At 36.3% G+C, this 23,272-nt stretch overlaps 1 long non-coding RNA gene across 1 annotated transcript in view; it reads right to left on the bottom strand.

Moving 5' to 3' along the window:
* Positions 1-276: 276 nt before the first annotated feature.
* Positions 277-23,272, bottom strand: part of LOC105371953 (uncharacterized) — a 155,413-nt gene continuing 132,417 nt past the window's right edge. Inside the window, exon 7 of the long non-coding RNA XR_001753318.2 lies at positions 277-16,347. This is a non-coding gene — a long non-coding RNA (uncharacterized LOC105371953). The remainder of the gene's footprint in view (positions 16,348-23,272) is intronic.

Raw genomic sequence — 23,272 nt, 5'->3', positions numbered from 1 at the left:
GGCTCTGACTTCTGACATTCAACTAGATGTGGAATATCCAACCCCTAGCATTTCATGGAATGTACTGACCAAGATAAAATGTGTTCTTATTAAACAATGCCATTTCTTGACCACTTCTGTTTTTAGGAATTGTGGTATCTGAGTCATGGTGATTAGAAGTACTAATGAAATAAATGGGAAAATTAAACTTCTACTAACATTTCATATAGTAGGGAGATGTCTGTGAAGAATTATAACTGGTACAGATTTTGTGTTTATAAACAAGGAGACAGAAAATGCAGAAAATAAAAAATATTTTATTTAGTTTTAAAGTGGTCAGAGTACTTTGTTTCTAATCTCATAACATTAACTAGCAACAGATTGAACTTTTAAGCAAATTCCTCTGACCTAGTAGCTACTAGGATTACCTACTGCATGTAGAAACCATTCTTAACTTGAGGGCCACATAAAAAGAGGCCATTGTCAGTAATTTGCCAACCCTTGATCCAGACCATGTATTGCTCTACCTCTAAACCATAGTTGCTTCATTTGCTTAAGTCTTTTCACATAATAAAACCCTTATTATAAGGAGGTGGTGCTGTTACCAGGACAACCAGGAACTGGGCCTCTACTATTGTCAGCTGAATTCTCTGCTCCGTTGTCAATTCTCAACTCCATTTCTGGCTTACCTCAAACAGAGTCACAAGAAAGTAAATATTTTGCAATCTTCTTGTCCTTAGCTGTTCGTTCCTCCAGAATGACATAGAGATTTGTAAATATTCACTGGAATTCAATGGCTTCATGCATTCTATTTCCACAAACAAATCCTGATACATTTCTCTCCTTCAATATAAAGTACTCATTTTCTGATCCGTATTAGCCAGCATCTTGCACTCCAAATAACCAGTAACAAAAAGATCCATGGGTTGAGGTGAGATTATTGCTTTAGATAGAGAAGTATCTGACCATTGTTAATTACTTTGAAAACAGATATGTCAAAAAAGATAAAACATACATTTATTGTCCCTGACAATTTACAAACCAAAATATACCATAATGCAACAAACTATCTGGGTTGTGGCTTATCTCCTCAGTTGAAACACTATTGCCAATGCTAAACAATGGAACACAGTATTTGGCTATTGGCTAAAGAAAATGATGTTCATACAGCTTAGACAGAAATTAGTCATTGAGTCACTAGAGACTATAAGCAGCATATGAATGCCTGAAACTTACAGAAGAATCAATACAGGCTATTAAACTCTCATTTCTTAGAATACCGTATACTTGCGTGTTTAAACTGACATCTTAAAAAGTTTTGTAAAGAGCAATTCAAACTCACAGCATGATAAATAATCTTTAGGTTTAATGAGACCTCAAGAACTAGACCAGCTTGAAGCATGCCATCTTACCTAGTTACTTAAGAAGCTAGTTTTTCCTTTTGTAACATGATCTCAGAAAAAAGAAAATATAATCATTGTTCTAAGGCAATCCACAAACTCTGTTACTCCCATTACATTTTCAAAACTGCAGACACTCAGGGGGTGTCCGATTCATGCCTGGGGCCATGTGAAACACCCACCTCTGTGAGTAGCTTTATTAACTCTATAAACACTTCAAGACATTCCTAGCAGTGTGGGGTAGCACACATATCTATTGTCTATCTTAGGTTTGGAATCATTTTTCCTCTTAAAAATAACACACTGAACCAATTAGCTTTTCTAAATCAAATTAACCTAATAGCATTCAAAAACTGACAAACATAATCTGCTTGTTCTAAGACAAAAGTGGATTAGTGAACAGAATCATATCTCTAGTCAGGTCCAAATCAAGTTATAAATTCTAACCAAACAGTGATTGCTGGAATAAGTCATATTATTAGTATGCATAGTCATACTGATCTCAAATGTAAGCAACATAGGCCTTTTCAGCAGGGAGATATAAAAGTTTAGAGTTGAAGAATGTCTTTTCATGTTGTGGTAGAGAGCTTGTTTCCTTTGACGTACATGGCTCCCTCAAGCCTTAGGCTATTTAGTTACATCCCTTGTAGTCACAGGAAGGAATAGCACTCCTCATTTTTCTATACCATCTTTTAGGCATGTTATTGTTTAATACTTTTTTTTTTGTTGCCTGCCTGCTGCTTGTTAGTATATGCACCAAAGCAAATGAGGTAAGACTTCAATGCATCAAATGCTTTTCCTTAAAACAACATTTTTATTGAAATATGAAACAAATATTTTTATTACCTTCTTTATAGAAGTATTTTTTAAAGAATAGTGATTGATAATATTGACAGAAAGGAGGACCTATGAATTATCTATAAATTATCTTTATATTTGAACTATTCACAAATGCAGAAAATTTAAAAATCAAATACATTTTTCACTTGCTAATATATCTTTTCATGAGACATTATCCTATAAAATCCACAGAGGGATGTGTCCATTTCTATTCTCTGCCAACCCTTTTGGTACCACCCATTGGACATAACATTTAGAATTAAATTAAGGTTATCACTATTGTTAAGCAAATACTATTAGAGGTTAGACTGGCAGGTCTTCAGAAATAGCTCACACTGGAGCCATGCATCTCAGTACTCACACTCCTGTGTAGCCTCCTTTCCTTGAATCTGAGAATCTGAGATGGTCCTGTAACTTGTTTTTAACCAGAAGAACATGGTAGAAGTGATACTGCCTGACTTCTGAGATAAAATTGTAAGATTCCTTGCAGATTTTCACCTAGGTCCCTTGGAATGAGTACCCTGGAAAAAGCCAGCAGACACCACGCTGTGAGCAAATGCCCAACCTAGCCAAGCAGTGGAGCAACATGGGGAAAACGGAGATACGTGGACATTCTCCAGCTATTTCAGTCAACCCAGCCAAGGAGAAGACATGTGAGTGTAGATGCTATTGTATATGTCTAGGCCAGTAAAGCCTTTAGCAAGCTGGAGCCCCAGCAGCTATTTGAATTCAATGAGAGACCCCAAGTGAGAGCCACCATATTGACCCAATCAACACACCGAAGTGTGAGAGAGAATAATTAAGTGCTAGCCTAAGCCACTGAATTTTGAGGGTGGTTTGTTACACAGCAATCAACCAAAGCAAAGATATTGGTTACTTGTTTGGGGGTTTCATTTTTAATTATAACATTCCATGGCTTCTAAACAAATTTTGCACTTATAATTTTATCAATTTACTGATAATCCTGCTGTCCTTGTTTTGTATCTACAATGCTTAGATTAGAAAATCTAATGGAGAAGTGTGTGTGTTTGTGTGTGTGTGTGTGTGTGTGTGTGTGTGTATTTCACTCTTTTATATAATGGATTTTGAGGAACAACTAGATTGGCTTTCTAAGAGAGGGGGAAATGCTTCTGAATATTTTAAGTAAAATTTTGATCTACAACAACTCTGCTGTAAATGTTTAATATAATATTATTTTGAGACTTTGCATGAGCTAAAAACATCTAAAGCTAATAAAGCCAGGCTTTTAAAGAGAAAAAGAGTAATTATAGGTTGCCTGTAAGAAACTCACTTACTTTACTTTTTTATTTATCTATTTTTTAACTTATCATTTTAGATACTCTCTGAATTTTAATTGTAGTGTTTAGATGTTGATCTGTCTTTACATGTCAAACATTTAAATTAACTCTTTTGCCTGAAAGAAGAAATACCAAGATACATAAATTGAATAAAAGGAGTGGTCTTGAGCACCATAAAAATACAATGTTTGGGCCGGGCATGGTGGCTCATGCCTGTAATCCCAGCACTTTGGGAGGCCGCAGCTGGTGGATCACGAGGCCAGGAGATTGAGACCATCATGACTAACACAATGAAACCCCATCTCTACTAAAAATACAAAAGCAAATTAGCCAGGCGTGGTGGCATGCACCTGTAGTCTCAGCTACTCGGGAGGCTGAGGCAGGAGAATTGCTTGAACCCAGCAGGTGAAGGTTGCAGTGAGCTGAGATCACACCACTGCACTCCAGCCTGGGTGACAGAGAGAGACTCCGTCTCAAAGAAAAACAAAACGATGTTTCAAAATCTACACAGAAAAGAAAAAGAGGGGAGAAGAAAACTAAAAAGAGACTCTAAGAAAAATATTGAAGAAGAAGATGGTTGGTGAAGGGGATATTGCTCTAGTACTAGTATTTCTTTAGGCAGCTGTTTAATGTTGCCTCTGAATAAGTACATATTTTAAGGCAGTTAACAATCTGGTTTATGAAAAAATGGGAAATCACTGTGTGTTAGTGAGCCAGACAGATGTGTATAGTGTGGATAGGGTTCTCTCTTTAAAATGCACAGAACTGGAATTTAGCGTTAACCTCATAAGCACTTGATGTTCATGTGGGTGCTCACCAGGCAATATGCTCCAGCTATTGAACAGAATGCATTCACTTGCTGTATACTGAGTGGTCCCCTAGTAAGCTGGAAAAAGTTGTACTTATGTCATGTTTAATTTATATAGTGTAGACATCATGAATAATTAAATTTAATAACTACTCAATGTCAGTGTTTATATATGGCTAGTAGCCAATATTTTTTGGTTCTTCAAGAAGAAAGGTACATGTCTTAGGAAAACTTGATACAGGAAAATATCAGTATTCTCACTTCAGAGTCATTCCTTTGGGGAAAAAAAAAGGCTACAAATTTCCTAACTACGTGTTAAGCATTGGTGCAGGCATTGATAAAGTTTGGATGTTTGTCCCCCACAAATGTCATATTGAAATGTAATCCCCAATGAAGACGGGGCCTGGTAGGAGGTGTTGGCATCCTGGGGTCAGATCTCTCATGAATGGCTTGGTGTTGTCCTTGGGATAGTGAGTAAGTTCTTGCGAGATCTAGTTGTTTAAGAGTCTGGCACCTCCTCCCTCTCTCTCTTGCTCCCTCGCTCTCACCATGTGACATGCTTGCTCTCCCTTCACCTTCTGCTATGATTGGAAGCTTACTGAGGCCCTCACTATGAGCAGATGCTGGAACAATGCTTATACAGCCTGCAGAACTGTGAGCCAATTAAACTTCTTTTCACATTACCCAGCCTCGGGTATTTCTTTATAGCAATGCAAGAGTTGGCTAACATGGGCATAGAGGGCATATAGCAGCTACATTTGCCTGAGGTGTATAGCAAAGGTGGTGTCAGGAAAGGTTAGCATTGAGCTTTGTTCTTTAAAGTGAGTAAGTTACCAGGATGGTAAAGGAGTATCGATGCAAAGTAAGGAGTGGAGAAATACATTTTAAGTGGAGGGAATTATTTAAAACAGGGCCCGAATGTCTTCCTCGGGTGTTGCCATATATTGTATCTGAACATCTTATATAGTATTTATTATTTGATGATGTAAAATCAGTTTCTTATTGTTTCCTTCTTTCTCTAGATTGCAAGCTTAGGGGGCAGCAATAATACGTCACTTATGTTTGAGTCCTAATTCCTCATACAGTCTTTGGCATAAATAATAGGCACTCAGTAATTACTATAAATAAAGAAAGAAAATAGCTGTAGTAAAAATGGATAACATTTGTTGTAACAGTTTCATTTAGATATTTATGAGAGTGTTAGAGCTCCCTGTTATATTGTAAGATTTTTTAGGGAAGGGATCTTGCATAAGTTTTATCCTTTAAATGGTGCCTGACTCATAGTTAGAACCCTATGGAAAGCAAATTATAGTCCTTTACATTTCTTTAATCAGCCAGGGCCTAATTTAACCCTATACGTTTATATAAAGGGCAGAAATTATTACAATAAATAATCTTGAAACAGCAGAATTCTGCATTACAAATATGAGGCTGCCATATTTCTGTGTTTCTGGTTGCCTAGAAACAAAAATGTGAAGTTGTATGAAACTATAAGAGTTTGTACTCATAAGATATTCTATGCAAAGTTCAGCCTGCCTCTCTGGGTTTGGAAAGCATCAATTCTGAGGAGCTTCAGACAATATTGCGGTCTTCATAGCTGAAAGTTTGCAAAGTTGGGCTTGTTTCATGGTATTACCGGCATATCCAATTAGCTAAAGAAAATAATTCTTCATTTAGAGTATCCAGAACAGACCAATAACAATATTGTTCAATAACAACTGCTCTAAATTTACTGATATTTAACAAATATTTTCAGACTTTACGTAATGACTGCTATGGTTTGGATATTTGTTCCTTGCAAACCTCATGTTGAAATTTGGTCCTCAGTGTTGGAGGTGGGGCCCAATGGGAGGTATTTGGGTTATGGAGATGGATCCCTCAAGAATAAATAAATGCGGTCCCTTGGGGTGAATGAGTTCTCACTCTATTAGTTCCCACCAGAGCTGGTTGTGAAAAAGAACCTGGCACCTCCCTCTTTCTGTCTTGCTTCCTCTCATAACGTGGTATCTGCACACACTGGCTTTTACCTTCTGCCATGAGTAGAAGCAGCCTAAGGCCCTCACCAGAAGGACATGCTGGTGCCATGCTTCTCGTACGGCCTGCGGAACCAGGAGCTAAATAAACTATTTGTATTTATAAATTACCCAGCCTCAGGTATTCCTTTATAGCAACACAAAATAGACTCAGACAATAACATCAAACATTGGAGAGTAGGGGAAAGGGAAAAATAGGGGAAATTTGATATTTGGCATTGTCAAGGTAATAGAATTATAATTTGGACCTCTTGACAAGTAACTAGCGGGTAAGTAGAGGCAGTGGCAATGCTGGGTAGTGGACTGTTTAATTTCCAGTTGTAAGTGCCCATATTTTCCCTGCTATAATTTTCACTGGATAGACAGATATGCAATTTGACATTGCAAAAGTAAAGGGCTAGGAGTCAGCAGTACTAAGCTAGATCTGCCCTTTTCCTGGCCTCAGGAATTTATACACGTAAGTAAAGATAATTTTATCCCCTTGGAAAGAAAGCCATTCTGCTGATTTGATCTTGTTTTCTGTAACTGCTGCAGCAGGAGAGGGGGTATCAGGAAGAGCAAAGAAGATTGAAATTAGCTTTTGAAATGAAAGCAGGAAAACTGGAGGCTCTGTTCTGGGGAAATCAATGAACATTTAACTACTCTCTTGGACACAGCTGGGAGCAACTCCCCAGCAAGAGTTTATATGTCCTCCAAGAGCAATTTCTCATGTGTCAACTCATTTTAACATTCACAACAGTGCTTGAGGTAGTCAGGCCAGGTGGTATATCAAGTGAACAAGTCGAGGCTCAGAGAGATTAAGTGACAGTGTTAACACAGTCACCCAAAAGAGCTGGCTTCCAAACCAGGTCTCTTGACATCAATGCTAGTGCTATTTCTGTTGCAACATCCTCCTTTATTTGCAGTGGTGGCGGTCTTAATTATAATTCTGTGGACAAGTCTAGGGCTTATCAAATACTGCCTGGTGTGCCTTTTTGTGCATATTCCTACCATATCATAAGAACCTGGAGAATACTTGTTAGGGTCACCCCCACCAGACCATTCCCTTCCCCTCCCACAGGCCTTACAATACAGTCTCTTACGCTCTCCACACAGCTACCCCAGAGCAAAAGACAAACCCCCCCTTCACAGACCCCTCCATTAACTGTTTGTCCAGACAGTTACAGGATGCAGTAAACGTGTCTGTTCACCTCACATAACAAAGCTGACAAAAAACATCTCCAGGATGCTGTCAAGACACCTGCACCCCGAGCTCAGCTCCCCGACCCCAGCTCAGCCCTCCTTCACACCCAGCTCAGCTCCCCGACCCCGACTCAGCCCTCCTGCACACCCAACTCAGCTCCCCAACCCTGACCCAGTTCGTCACCCTATAAAGTTCTGCTGTCGCCTGTAAGCGGGGCTGCCTCCTCTCTTTTTGTCAGGAGGTAGCCTGGCAGGACTGAAAATAAATCAGCGTGCCTGAAACTTGGGTCTATTGGCCTCATTCCTTTCTCAGCTGTCCTTCCAATTATCCCTGAAAATACTGTTTTGTAGTACCCAGAATTTAATAAGTGTTCAACAGAGATGTATTAATTGCTTGATTAGGTGCTAACAGTATTCAGTCATGGAGTTTATAAAATAGTAAACAGGATTGTTGTAGAACCATACATTATGACATTATTGGTGAGCAAGGGGTGGTTGTTAATACTTTTTTGATTAAAGTTTCCTTGAATGATTGTTTTAATTATTTCATAAATCTATGTTAAGATGATCTACCCTTCACTTCTCTGGACTGTGTTTTATAAAGTTTAGATAATAAAGCTTGGTACTTTTCTATTGTCTTCAGAAATTCTGTTTTTGAGCTAATATAGATAAATGGACCTCAGGTTCCAGCTCTCTATTATCAACTGCACACCAGGGGAATAAATGATAGCTTTCCTGTAAGAAAGCTATCATTTATTTAGATTTCTGGTGCCAGAAACTACACTGAGTCCTTTGAAAATTTAAACTAATTTAATTCTTACAACAGTACTGTATTATAGATACTACTCTCTACCTCTCAGATCAGGATGCTAATGTTCAGAGAATTGAAGATGCCCTAAGTCACATAGCTAGTTCTGGTATTTGTGTTTGATTGAGTCTTTTTTATTCCATAATCGTGTGTGTGTGTGTGTGTGTGTGTGTGTGTGTGTGTTTGAGTATAGAGAAATCCAAAGGATTGTGTATTGACCATCGAGATTCAGTAAGTATTAACATCTGGTCCCTTTCTTCTTCAGAGCTTTTATTTATTTTTTAACATTAAAAAAATAAAAATCTTTTGTTGGTAGTATCCAGCAGTAGTACATTTCTATATCCAACAATATCCAACATTAGTATATTATTAAAGCATTAATATATTGCTAAGTAATATACTATAGTTTTTTATTTATACACTTAAGACCACATATATTGACTTTTTACTATGATAGACTAGAATTTAATTCAGTTATATCCTTTCGCTACCAATATCATTGTATCATCTTTCGTTTGCATAAATATTACTCTAACTCACTTTAAATTTTATATCAAGCCCCATTAAATAATGCACTTCAACCTCTATTTGTTCCTTTAAGTAAAGCCATAATTCTTTAAGATAATGGTATTAGAATCTTTACCCTTCCTTCTATTTAATGTCTCCCGATACCAACAACCTCCCTACTTCTGTTGTTTTTACTCTTACCTTATGAAAATTTATAATATTTTCATTTATCGTGACCATAATTAAGGCTTTCATGCTCTGTATATAGGTTGACTCTAAAAGCTGAAATGGCAAAAACCTTGTTTAAGTTATCATGATGATCTAACTACTACAGGGCTATTTAATGAGATATTATCATTTCCATCTATATTTCTATTATAGATACTAAATACTATTTTGGAGATATCCAAAGTAAAGTACTCTTAGCATCATGTTCAAATGATGAATCTCTTTTCATACCCAGCCTATGCTTAAAAGCATGATACAACTTTTATTTAGTTTGTATTTTGACAGTGTATTTCTTGAGTTTTATTTGGCTTTCTCTAATTTCTGCTTCTATTTTTCACTATTACTGGTAATAGAAACTTAATCACAATATTTTTCCAATTCATATTTATTCTCTCAATTGCCTGTAGCCCATGCTGTTCTATTTGACTCTTGTTGACTTTTGTTTCCTGAAATTTGAGTAGGTCTTTATTTTTCTTCTTGCATTTTTTAAAATTTTTATCCAGTTCTTGATATTTCTAGTCTCTCTCACACAGTTACTATTATTGTATGGTGTCCTCTTTATTTCCCAGAGGTTTTTCTTGCAGAGTTTTGCATCTTCCTGCTCCAATATTGACTGGTTGCTTCCTAGATCTGCTATGCAGTTGCAGTCCTGGCACTTCCATTCACTCTTCTCCTGGGCGTTCAGCCACTGTTTCCTGAATCTCATGACTTCCTCTTTCTTATATTTTGTCTTATTTTTTAGAATACACCCTCAAGAAGCTTCCTAGGAAAGTGAGTGTGGGAGGTAAATTTTCTAAATCCTTGTATGCTGAAAATGTATGCAAGTTGTCTCTCTCCCAGTAGATTGGTTGTTTCACTAAGTATTTTTTCTAGGTTAAAAATCATTTCCCTCAGAGCATTGTTTTCAAGCATTGCATGCTGTTTATGGGAAGTCTGACACCAATTTAATTCTGCGTCTTTTTAAAAACATTTTATAAAGTATGTTTCTCTCTGGAAATTTTAAGAATACTTAATGTGAGAAAATTTCGCAATGATATGTCTAAGTACACTTAATTTGTCAGTATTTGGTCAGCCTCTAAATTGGAAGACTCATTGCTTTAATTCTGGAAGGTTTTCTTCACTTTCCTAATTTCCTTCCTGCCATTTATTTTTTAAAAATCTATTAATTTGATGTTAGAACTCCTGTTTTATACATTTTATTTTCTTCCTTCTCATATTTCTGTCTTTGTCTTTATAATAGGTTCTGGAAGTTTTATTAATTTTTATATTTCAATTCTGGATTTCTTTTTTGTAATTGTAAATTCTGTCTTCTGTTCCTTATTCGTGACATCCTTTTCTTGATGTATAAAACATCTTCAAAATCAAAGTGGATCTAGTTACAATTGTAATGTAACTTTTTTTTTTTTTATCTTTCCTGATAAATGTTTTTTTCTTGGATCAGTTTCTCTATCTCACATTTTTCTCTTGCAGGCTTTCCTCAAAAGGCAGTAATGTGTTGTTGCCTGTTTAAACTTAAATGTGAAGAAATAAGATAGATGGCTAACTCTGTCCTCTGGGCCAACAGCAGGATTTGTTTCAGCTTGAAAGGTCAGGAAGTTGTTATGCTACAGTTCCTCAACATGCCAAAATGCAAGATTTTCTTCCAGATACCAGCATCCAAATAAATTTGCCTGGTTCCCTCTATACAGTTTATTCAGTTTTAGTTTTAAAAAGAACTGTGCTTTTTTGGAAACTGGATGTGAATGTCTGGCTGGAGATCATCCTGAATGTAGAAGCAAGAGGGGCTTGAGGACCCTAAGTGAACAATGTAGAAATCTTCAGTAAATATTCATCTTGTTAGTCCTGTGTATTACTCCTTTCCATCCATCACCACCGCTTCCCTCTCAGATTCTTGAGTTTCTCTTATGTTCCTCTTGGCACCCATGCCCTTTCACAATTCAGCCTCCTCTGCATATATTTATGTCACTTTATCATCTACCAGAAATCTGTTGACATTTCTTGCCCATGCTATCCCTCCTATTTTAATTGCTATTGTTGAAAAACTAAAATTTCTTATGTTTAATGGAGATTTACGAGAAAAAGATATAGACACATATATTTTATCTACTGTGTTAATTTCCTATGCCTGGAAAATATTTGTAGTTTAGAACAACAAAAAAAAAATTCTTTCACAGATCCAGAGGACAGAAATTTAAAATAAGGATCATTGAGCTGAAATGAAAGTGACAACAGGTTCATGCTCCCTCAAGAGGACTGAGGTGAGAATTTATGTCCTGACCTTTTCCAGTGTTTAGAACAGCATTTCTTGTATTCTTTAGCCCATGGCCCCTTCCTCCACCTTCAAAGACAGTTGCAAAACATCTTTTCTTTTGACTCTACTTCCCTCTGCTTCTTTCACTCATTTCTTTCTATTCTGTGTCAAGTCTCTCTCTGCCTCTCCTTATAAGGAGTCCTGTGATTGCATTAGGGCCCACCTGGATAATCCAGGATAATCTTCTCATCGTAAGATCTTGAATTTAATTACACCTGCTTAGTATTTTTATTTGCCATGTAATGTACCATTTACAAATCCTGGTGATTAAAAGATATATTTTGTAGGACCATTATTCAGCCTACCATATTGACCATTTTGAATGCCATGTAAATTGCCTTTTTAAAGTTCTTAAGAGAGAAAATAAATGTAGTAAGGGATTTTTCCAGTATACATTTACTGAGGAATATTTAGACTTTTAAAGCTGGGCTTGTCTTTTTAATGTCAAAAATGATTTGATTTCCCATTGACCACTGGCAAAAGAATCCCTTCTGCTACCATTTGCCTCTATGAAATCTTCCTGGAGAAAATGAGGTAATAACTGATTTTCACTAAATAAAGCACTGATGATTTTCGATTATGAACAATTACTCCTATACACCTGTTGCCTGTCCTATTCATTTTGTTCTCTATTATATGTTATTATGCAATACCACCTACATAATTCAGGGTCTATAAGCTGAAATTGACCACACTTTCTCAATATCCCCATGCCACAATTTTTTTCATATGCTTTGAATGATGATCAGTTTTTTCTCTAATAAAAATAATAATAGCTATAATTAAAGAGCTCCTTTTAATTTCCACTTGACATTTACTATTTGATTTTTTAAATTATTTTAATATCTTTATTAAATTTATCATTCTGGTTACATTTTTTTATTTCATTAAATTGTTTCTCTGTTTTATTGAAGTTTGCTGAACTTCATTAAAACAGTTATTTTGAATTATTTGTCAGTCATCTTATACATATCCATTTCTTTAGGGTCAGTCACTAGCACCTTACTTTGTCCACTTGGTGATGTCTTATTTCCCTGATTGTTCTTGATTCTTGTTATTGTACACTGATGCCTGGACATTTGAAGAAGTGGGTACAGAACTGGGTTATTCCAGTTTTCACAGGCTGGCTTTGTCTTGGAAAGCCCTGCAGCAGGTATAGTCCTGGTATAGGCTGGTAGCCTGAGGCAGATATGGCTGTCGTAGTATTGCCAGAAGCCTGTGGCCTGCTATGACAAATGTGTGCTAAAGCAGATGATAAGCCTGAGGCAGCTGTGGCTAATATAATACTGAGATGCATATAGCCAGAGGCCACTTAGAGCTGTCCAGAGCCCAAAGCTGCTGACATTGGTCTGGTGTTGGTGCAGGCCATAGGTCAAGTTCACCATACAAGCTTGAAGCCTGGGGCTGTGTGATTCCACCTCATGCCAGGGTGGGTCTAGGGGCTCAGTCTGTGATACTGGCCTAGTATATGGGTCCTTGGGGAGTCTGCCCAGTGCTCGGTTTTACTCTGGTGGGCCCAATGTGGGTCCAAGACAAAGTCCTGTGCTCACTTCCCTTTCTTTCCCCCAAGCAGATGCTATCTCTCTCCACACTGTGCTGCCTGGGACTGGGGAAAAGGTAGTGTGGGTAATGTAAAATTGTCTTTTCTACCCTATTCAATGCATCTTTTTACATCATTGTGCCACAACCAGAAACTGTGATCTCTCACCTGGTTTTCTTAGCTCTAGTGAAGGTATTTTCATCTGTGGACAATTGTTTAAATTGGTATTTCTGTGTGTGTGGAGACAGTGCTGGAAAGTCTTACTCCACTATCTTGTCCCATTTACCTTTACATTTACTATCAAATATGACCCTTATAGACTCTGTGTGCTCATTATTTATTATTATCCCCAATTCACAGATTGGGAAACAGACTCTGGGATGAGAAGTGACTTCTTCAAAGCCATGAAGTTAATGAATGGAAGACCCGTATTTTAAACTAAGTCTAAATAGTACCAGAATTCAGTCTTCCAATTACACACCACTATTGGAACTGTTTGTGAGCTAAAAATGCTACAGATTTGAATCTTTTGCAAAATCTGCTTATTTATGGCTGCATTTAAATAATGTGACTCTAAATACACATGACAGCAGCAAAATTTAAAATGTGAAAGATAAAAAAAGCCAAAGAGATCGTGTAAGCTCTTGAAAAGACAGCTTCAATAACCTCTTGCACGTATTAGGTAATTTATAAAATGCCTGTGTTTGGAAAAATTCCTTCTTCCTTCTTTGTTTGTTGCAAGCAACTCTCTTCTGTCATAAAGACTCCCTTGCTTTGGCAAAATAACTCAGAGCAAAAATTTAAAAGTGTATTTAAGAACATGTTCATTCCGCTGTAGGAAGTAAAATTTTAGAAGTTCGACAGTTGGGCATCCAGATTTGAAGAAGAAAAAAATAGTAGGCATGCCAACATTTCATTTCGAAATAGAAAACACAATCCAAAATTAGGAAAAGGTGACAATTCAGAAAATTACTTATGAGCTGATACATAATTACAGGCTTTGAATTCCATTTTGAGTATGCAATATTTTACAGAGTTCTAAGTAGAGATCTGAAAAGATACAATGGTCCAAATAGTCCCCACCCTTCCTGCCAAAAAATATTCAGAACTGGCACAGATTTAGCAAATATTTCCAGAGAAAATATTTCTGATACAACTGAGAAATTAATGTGTTGGTGATTCGAATTAACAGGACTACCAAAATTTTCAATATACGTTAGTCTAAAACAAAAGAGAAAACAAGTTATTTATTTATATCCTAAAGTTTGACATTTTACATTTATGTTTTGCTTCTCCTAGAAATATCTGCCTGCTTTATTTTAGCCTGTCCAGATCCTTCTCATCTTCTAATTCAACTAATGCTGATCACATGGCTTATTTATGTCACGCATTACATTTCTAGTGCCTCATCTTTTATCTTCCAAAGAAACCTCTGACATAAGTACTATCACTGACCTTTTCAGATGAGGAGACCAAGAGTCAGAGAAATGAGGTGATTTCCCTAAAATCATACCACTGGGAAGTAGTGGAAACCAGATTTAAAACAATGTTTTCTGATTTATAGCCTAATTAAAGATTTGATTTCTTAGCTATCTCAGCATACAATGATCTTCATTACTATGTACAATATATTTGTGTTATATTCTATATGATTAAATCCTTTTTCAATTAAAGTTCTCTTCTCAAATAGAACATAAAATGTTTAAGACTAGAGGCCTTGTATCATGCTTTTACCATATGTTCCACACGCCCTGTACAATGACAGACATATAGTTGGAGCTCAGCAAATCAATAATCAGTCCTAGATACATTCAAATGGATCCTTAGGCAATGAGAAGACATTCATTTATTGGTGAGTGTGAAGTTGGTTCTTGGAATCTGCATTGACTTTTTCAGGCTAGTAGGAACAGCACCTGCTCACTGGTTATATTTAGAAATGACGAATAGAAGAAATGGTGAGAAAAAGGCATGGGCATGTTTGAGTTTTCTTATTTTCATTCAATTTTGTGGACTGTTGGGTTTTTTAAATAATAATTTTTAAGAGCTGAAATAGGATTTGATAAACTAAGACTAATAAATTATACTTAAGGCACTTGTTTTCTTCTTTCTTTTCATAATTTATTTCTGTCTCTACTGCCCTTATCCTCATCACACATTTTACTTCATGCATTCTACTAATTTACTTGACATTCTGCAAGTACAGTACATTTTATATGGCATATGTTATAATTTGACAAGATTTTTTGATAATATTAACTTCCTTAGGCACATTATAAGTCAATATGCAATGATATAGGACCAAATAGTTTCCTTGCCTTTATTTTTCTGAATCTAGCATTTAATAGAATAAATCTGTGGTGATGCTCCCAGCCTTTTATGTAGGTAAGCATATTTATGCCAGGACCAATACAATTTATTTTTAAAATATCAGGTAAGAAATTTTCAAATATAATCTTAAATTCATAGTGAACATTGGAAGTGTATGTACCAAAATAAGTTTGAAGTATTCTCAAATCTCACTGATTGTGAAGACCTCAAAAGAAAGAGCCGAATATTGTATTTAGTTACACAGAAATATAAAGGGTCTTTAATGTAAATATTTCGATTAAAGATGCCATGGACTGCTAATTTGTATCCCCCCCTTGATTTACATGTTGAGGTCCCAACTTCCAACGTGATTTTATTTGGAGGTGGGGCCTTTGGGAGGTAATTATGTTTAGATGAGCTCATGAGGATGGAGCCTTGTAGGACTAGTGTCCTTATAAGATGAGGAAGAGACACCAGAGCTCTCTCTCCCCCTGCCCCACAAGTGAAGACACAGTGAGAAGGTGGCCATATGCAAACTAAGAAGAGCCATATCATTAAGAACTGAATGTATTGGCACCTTGATACGGGACTTCCCAGCTCCCAAAACTGTGAGAAGCAAATGTCTGCTATTTAAGCCACCCAATATGTCATATTTTGTTATAGCAATCCAAGCTGACTAAGGAGGACTGAGTGTCAAACTGTTCTTGTGGACAAGTAGAAAACAGACTTCTAGACCTAGATAGATTTCTAAGAGCCAGAAGTAGGTATAAGCTAGATTGCAAGGTGAAATAGTTTGGATATTTGTCCCTGCCCAAATATCATGTTGAAATATAGTCCTCAATGTTGGAAGCAGGGCCTGGTGGGAGGTAATTGGATCATTGGGGCAGATTTCTCATGATTGGTTTAGCACCATCCTCTTCGTGCTGTAACTCGCAATAGTAAGTTTTCATGTGATCTGGTTGTTTAAAAGTATGAGGCTCCTCACCTCTCTTATTCCAGCTTTTGCCATGTGACATGCCTGTTCCCCTTTTGCCTTCCACCATGAGTAAAAGCTCCCTGAGGCCTCCTCAGAAGCTGAGCAGATGCCAACCCGATGCTTGTACAACCTGCAAAAGCATAAGCCAATTAAATCTCTTTTCTTTATAAATTACCCAGTCGCAGGCATTTCTTCATAGCAATGCAAGAATGGCAAAATACATAAGATTAAAGCCTGAAGCCAAGGAAACTCAAAGACTGCCTGAGTGGTAACTTCCAGAATGGTGCATGAAAAACTCTGTGAATCCTTTCCCTAATTAAACAACCATAACTGATAAAAATTATAGAAGAAAAATCACCCAAGCTCTTGAATACTTTGGAAATTGTCCTATAGAGCAGGGCTATGGAGATTTTTCCCAGGTGGAGGGGCATTCTGTAAGAGCAGGGAGTTCCACAGCTTATTTCAAGGGAACTGACTTTATTTGGTATAGTTCAATATTCTGGGCACTATTGAAAAAAATAGATGAGTACCAAGAGTACCCTGGATTTGTTTTAATCAGGCATGGTAAGATGGGAAGACACCAGAATTGGTTGTCATGAAATAATAAGTTTATTATATTTATAGATTCCTGGAAATGGGAGGCATGGTACACCAAACAAGGAGGCCACACAGGGAAACACTGGAGTTGTTCAGGACCTGAGGAAGCAGGGAAAAGTGTGACTAGAGCCTTTATTGTGTTTTCTATGGGGAAAAGAGTAAGGGATGGTAAACAGGCTTAAGATTGGTTAGTTTAAATAATTTCAGTGAGCTCTGGGATATAAAAAATGTCCCTAGACTTCTGATACTTGGCTCTGGGATGATTAGGACAGATGAATAGTAGAGTCAGTTTGAGAGCCTTCTAAGAGAGGTGGTTAGGGGTATGGGCTATGAATTGGCTGGTTTGCATTTGAAAAGTGTGCTCCCACATGAGTTGTTTACTATCTCTAGTAATTGATTAACCCTGGTTATGGGCATTCCCTACAGGATCAGAAAAGCCCCCAGATGAAAATGTCGGAATACAGAAAGACATGGTTAATGAGCTGTAAGCAATTAAGAAGAGGCTGGTAGTACCAGGAGAGCTAAATGATAGTTAGCCAGAAGATTAATAAAAAGAATCAGGGAAAGAGATAGTTGTTGGGTTGGAACAAACCTCACAGGCTGGCTTCAAAGATTAACCTGGCAAAGGGGCCCAAATTTAATTGGATCAGACTATGGAGCAACTTATGTCCAGGGAATTAATGGAAATAATAACATGATCAGCCACCAGTTAATGGAGGCTAACCACTCAGTGTGACGCTAACAGAAATATGTAGCTTACTAGAGATATCAGAGAAAGAGATAGTAAAAAATTGCCTTTTTAAAAGAACTTTCATCCTAAGATGTATATGTATATGCCCAAGATTCCCCTCCTGAACTGACATCAGGGAATGCACACTGGGGGGGAAATGAAATTCACTAAAGTACTCCAACTAAGTAACTAAACAAATAAACAAGCAAACAAAATAACAACAACCCATAGCCCCAAGAAAGAAAGAATAGGTATTCAGAGTTCAATATTATATAAAATGGCCAGTTTTCAACAAAAAATTATGAGATGTGCATAGAAGTAAAAACTGTAAATTGTAGAGAAAATTTAAAAAGGCAATAGTACCTGCCTTTGAGAGAATCTACACGTTAGACTCAGCAGACAAATTTCAAAGCAAATATTAAAAATATGTTCAAGGAACTAAAGGAAACCGTGCCTTAAAAAGAAAAAGGTATGATGACAATGTTTCATCATGTAAAGAATGTCAATAAAGAAGGAAATAAATTACTTTTTTAAAAACTAAGTGAAAATTCTCAAGTTGAAAACTACAATAAACGAAGTTAATAATTTAATAGAGGGGCTCAATGGTATGTTTGAACTGGCAAAAGAATGTGTGATGTTGAAGACTGATTATTAGAGAATATGAAATATGAAGAATATGAAAAAACAGAACGAATAGAAATGAACAGAGTTTCAAAGAAATGTCAGACAACGTTTAGTGCAACAACATAGATATAGTAGGACTACAGGAAGGAGAGGAGAGGAAGAAAGGGGTACAAAAATATTTAAAGACATAATGGAGATATAGTGGCTGGTAACTTTCTACATTTAATAAAAAACAAATATTAATCTGCAAATCCAAGGAGCTCAGGAAACTTCAAGTAGGATAAATGCAAAAGATATTCACATCCAGAAAATTATGTTCAAAATGTTGAAAGACAATGGCAAAGAGAAAATTCTGAGAACAGCAAGAGAAAAACAACCCATCACTTCAAGTAAACTGTAATATTTAATATTAATATTTAATATTTGCTTTGAAATATTTGCAGCTGACTTCTCATTAGAAACAATGGAGGACAGAGGCAGTGGAAAGTCAAATTCAAAGTAAAGTAATAAATTGAAAGGAAAAAAAAACCCTGTCGAGAAATAATCATATATCCAAGAAAACTAACTTTAAAAAATGACAGTGAAATAAAAGCATCTTCAAATAAACAAAAATGGACAGAATTTGTTGTAAGCAGATATTCCTTGTAACAAACATTAAAGTTCTAAATGAAAGTGAACTCAGACCATAGTTCAAGTCCACATGATAAAATAGAGTGCCAGTAAAAGTACTTGTTTATGTAATTATTTTTAAAAACTATATTTGCAAATTTCTTAACTGACTTAAAAGCAATCATATGAATAATATGTATATAACTGTATTATTGGGCCTGTAACACATAGAAATGTGATATATTAGAAAATATCACAAATAAGGTGAATTAGAGCAAAACAGTATTGGAATAATTAAATGATACCAATAGTACCTGGAATTCACTGGAACAAATGAAGAGAACTAAAAAGGTTAATATAACAAGGCATAAATATTTAATTGCTCTTCTTTCTTTTCTCAGCTTCTTTAAAGGACATAAAGTTGTACAAAGTAATAATTATAACAATATATCATTAGGTTTGTAACATATATAATCTAGAAAACACTAATTTAGTACAAAGAAGCAGAAGAATAAGAATGAACAAAACTTCTGAGTAATATGGGATTATAAAAAGAGGCCAAATCTATGAATCACTGGTGTCCCTGAAAGAGATAGGGAGAATAGAAGCAATTTAGACAATATATTTCAGGTTATCATCCATGAGAACCTCCCCAACCTAGCTAGAGAAGCCAGATTTAACCAGGAAATGTGAAAAACACCTGCAAAATACTTCACAAGAAGATCAGCCCCAAGACATATAATCATCAGATTCCCCAAGGTCAGAAAAAAAAAGTTAATGGCATCTAGAACGAAAGATCATGTCACCTACAAAGAGAAGCACATCAGACTAACAGTGGACCTCTCAGCAGAAACCCCACAAGTGAGAAGATATCAAGGTCCTATATTCAACATTCTTAAAGAAGAAATTCCAACACAGAATTTTGTATCCAGTCAAACTAAACATAAGTGAAGAAGACATAAGATTCTTTATAGACAAGCAAATGTTACGGGAACTCATTACCACCAGACCTGCCTTACAAGAGCTCCTGAAAGAAGCACTAAATATGGAAAGGAAATATTATTACCAGCCACTACAAAAATTCACTTAAGTACACAGACCAGTGATACTGTAAAGCAACCACACAAACAAATCTGCATAACAACCAGAAAACAACATAATGATAGGATCAAATCCACACATATCAATACTAACCTTGAATTTAAATGGACTAAATGCCCCAATTAAAAGGCACAGCGTGGCAAGCTGGATAAAGAAGCAAGACCCAATGGTATGCTGTCTTCAAGAGACCCATCTGACTTGCAATGATATCTATAGGATCAAAATAAAGCATTGGAGGAAACTCTAAGAAGCAAATGGAAAAGAGAAAAAAAAAAAAACAATGGTTGCAATCCTAATTTTACACAAAGCAGACATTAAACCAAAAAAGATCAAAAAAGACAAAGAAGGGCATTACACAGTGGTAAAGGCTGCAATTTAACAAGAAGATGTGACTATCCTAAATATATGTGCACTCAACACAGGAGCATCCAGATTCATAAAGCAAGTTCTTAGAAACTATCAGAGAGACTTAGACTGCCACACAACCCCATTGACAGTATTACACAAATCACTGAGGCAGAAAATTAATAAACACATTCAGGACCTGACCTCAATACTGGACAAAATGGACCTGATAGAAATCCGCAAAACTCTGCACCCAAAAACAACAGAATATACATTCTTCTCATCACTGCAAGGCACATACTATAAAATCGACCACCCAATTGGACATAAAACATTCTTCAGCAAATCTAAAAGAACCAAAATCATACCAACCACTCTCCTGGACAACAGCACAATAAAAATAGAAATCAAGACTAAGAAAATTGCTCAAAACCATGCAATTGCATAGAAATTTACAACCTACTTCTGAATGACTTTGGGGTAAATAATGAAATTAAGGCAAAAATTAAGAAATTCTTTGAAACTAAAGAGAACAAAGATAAACCATACCAGAATCTCTGCCACACAGCTAAGGCAGAATTAAGAGAGAAATTTGTAACACTAAGTGCCCATATCAGAAAGTTACAAAGATCACAAATTGGCAACGTAACATCACAACAAAAAGAACCAGAGAATAATGAGCATACTAATCCCAAAGCTAGCAGAAGACAAGAAGTAACCAAAGTCAGAGCTGAACTGAAGGAGATTGAGACTCAGACAACCATTCAAAAGATCAATAAATCCAGGAGTTGGTTTTTTTTGAAAAAAATTAATAAGATATAAGGCTAGCTAGACTAATAAAAAAGAGAGAAGATCCAAAAATAACACAATTAGAAATGACAAAGAGGATGTTACCACTGACTTCAAAAAATACATAAATAACTATCAGAGACTACTATAAACACTTCTATGCAAACAAACTAGAAAATCTAACAGAAATGGACAAACTCCTGGAAACATACACCTTCCCAAGACTGAACCAGGAAGAAACTGAATCCCTGAACAGACAATAACAAGCTCCAAACTTGAATCAGTAATAGCCTACCAACCAAAATAAGCCCATGACCAGATTCTAGCAGATTCTAGCACATGTACAAAGAAGAGCTGGTACCACTCCTACTGAAACTATTCCAAAAAATTGAAGAGGAGGGATGCTCTCCCAATTCATTCAATGAGGCTTTCATTATCCTAATACCAAAACCTTTCAGATAAACAACAAAAAAAGAAAACTTCAGGTCAACATCTTTGATGAGCATTGATGCAAAAATCCTCAACAAAATACTAGCAAACCAAATCCAGCTGCACATCTAAAAGCTAATCCAACATGATCAAGTGGGCTTTATCCCTGGTAATGCAAGGTTGGTTCAACATACACAAATCAATAAATGTGATTCATCACAAAAACAGAATTCAATACAAAAACTACACAATTATCTCAATAGATGCAAAAAAGCTTTTAATAAAATTCAACATCCCTTTATGTTAAAAACTCTAATAAACTAGGTATTGAAGAAACATACCTCAAAATAATAAAAGCCATCTATGACAAACCCACACCTAACAACATACTTAATGGGCAAAAACTGACACAAGATGAGGATGTTCTCTCTCAACACTCCTATTCAATATGGTATTAGAAGTCCTGACCAGAGAAATCAGACAAGAGAATGAAGTAAATGGCATCAAAATAGGAAGACAGGCATCAAAATAGGAAGTCAAACTATCGCTGTTTGCAGACTACGTGATTCTATATCTAGAAAATTCCATAGCAAATAAAAAATCCTTAAGCTGTTAGACAACTACAGCAATGATACATTGGATAAAGAAAATGTGGCACATATACACCATGGAATACTATGCAGCCATAAAAAAGGATGAGTTCATGTCCTTTGCAGGGACATGGATGAAGCTGGAAACCATTATCCTCAGCAAACTAACACAATAACAGAAAACCAAACACTGCATATTCTCACTCATAAGTGGGAGTTGAATAATGAGAACACTTGGACACAGGAAGGGGAACATCACAGACCAGAGCCTATTGGCAGATGGAGGGCTAGGGGAGGGATAGCATTAGGAGAAATACTTAATGTAGATGACGGGTTGATGGATGCAGCAAACCATAATGGCACATGTACATCTATGTAACAAACCTGCACATTCTGCACATGCATCCCAGAACTAGAAGTATTGGGAAAAAAAAAACTACAGCAAAGTCTCAGGATACAAAATTTATGTACAAAAATAACTAGCATTCCTATAAACCAACAACAGCCAACCTGAGCGCCAAATCAGGAATGAAATCCCATTCACAACTGCTACAAGAAGAATAAAATACCTAGAAATACAGCTAACTAGGGAGGTGAAAGATCTCTACAATGATAATTACAAAACACTGCTCAGAGAAATCAGAGATGACACAATCAAATGGGAAAACATTCCATGCTCATGGAAAGGAAAAATCAACATCATTAAAATGGCCATATTGCCCAAAGCAATTTATAGATCTAATGCTATTCCTATCAAACTACCATTGAAATTATTCACATAATTTAAAAACACTATTTTCAAATTCGTATGCAATTTTTAAAGAGCCTGAATAGCCAAGGCAATCCTAAGCTAAAAGACCAAAGCTGGAGGCATCATGTTACCCAACTTCAAACTATACTACAGGGCTATAGTAACCAAAACAACATGGTACTGGTACAAAAACAGGCATATAGATCAATGGAACAGAATAGAGAGCCCAGAAATAAAGCCACACACCTACAACCATCTGATCTTCGACCAAGCTGACAAAAACGAGCAATGGAGGATGGACCCCCCTATTCAATAAATGGTGCTGGGATTACTGGCTAGCCATATGCAGAAAATTGAAACTGGGCCTCTTCCTTCCACCATATACAAAAATCAACTCAATACCCAGGTGAACATGGTCTAGAGTAGACCCCCCAGAAAACTGCAGCAGACCTGCAAAACAGGGACCTGCCTGTTATAAGAAGAACAAACA

Source organism: Homo sapiens, chromosome 18, assembly GCF_000001405.40.
Source record: "Homo sapiens chromosome 18, GRCh38.p14 Primary Assembly".
Lineage (NCBI taxonomy): Eukaryota > Metazoa > Chordata > Mammalia > Primates > Hominidae > Homo > Homo sapiens.
This window is presented reverse-complemented; position numbering and strand designations above follow the sequence as displayed.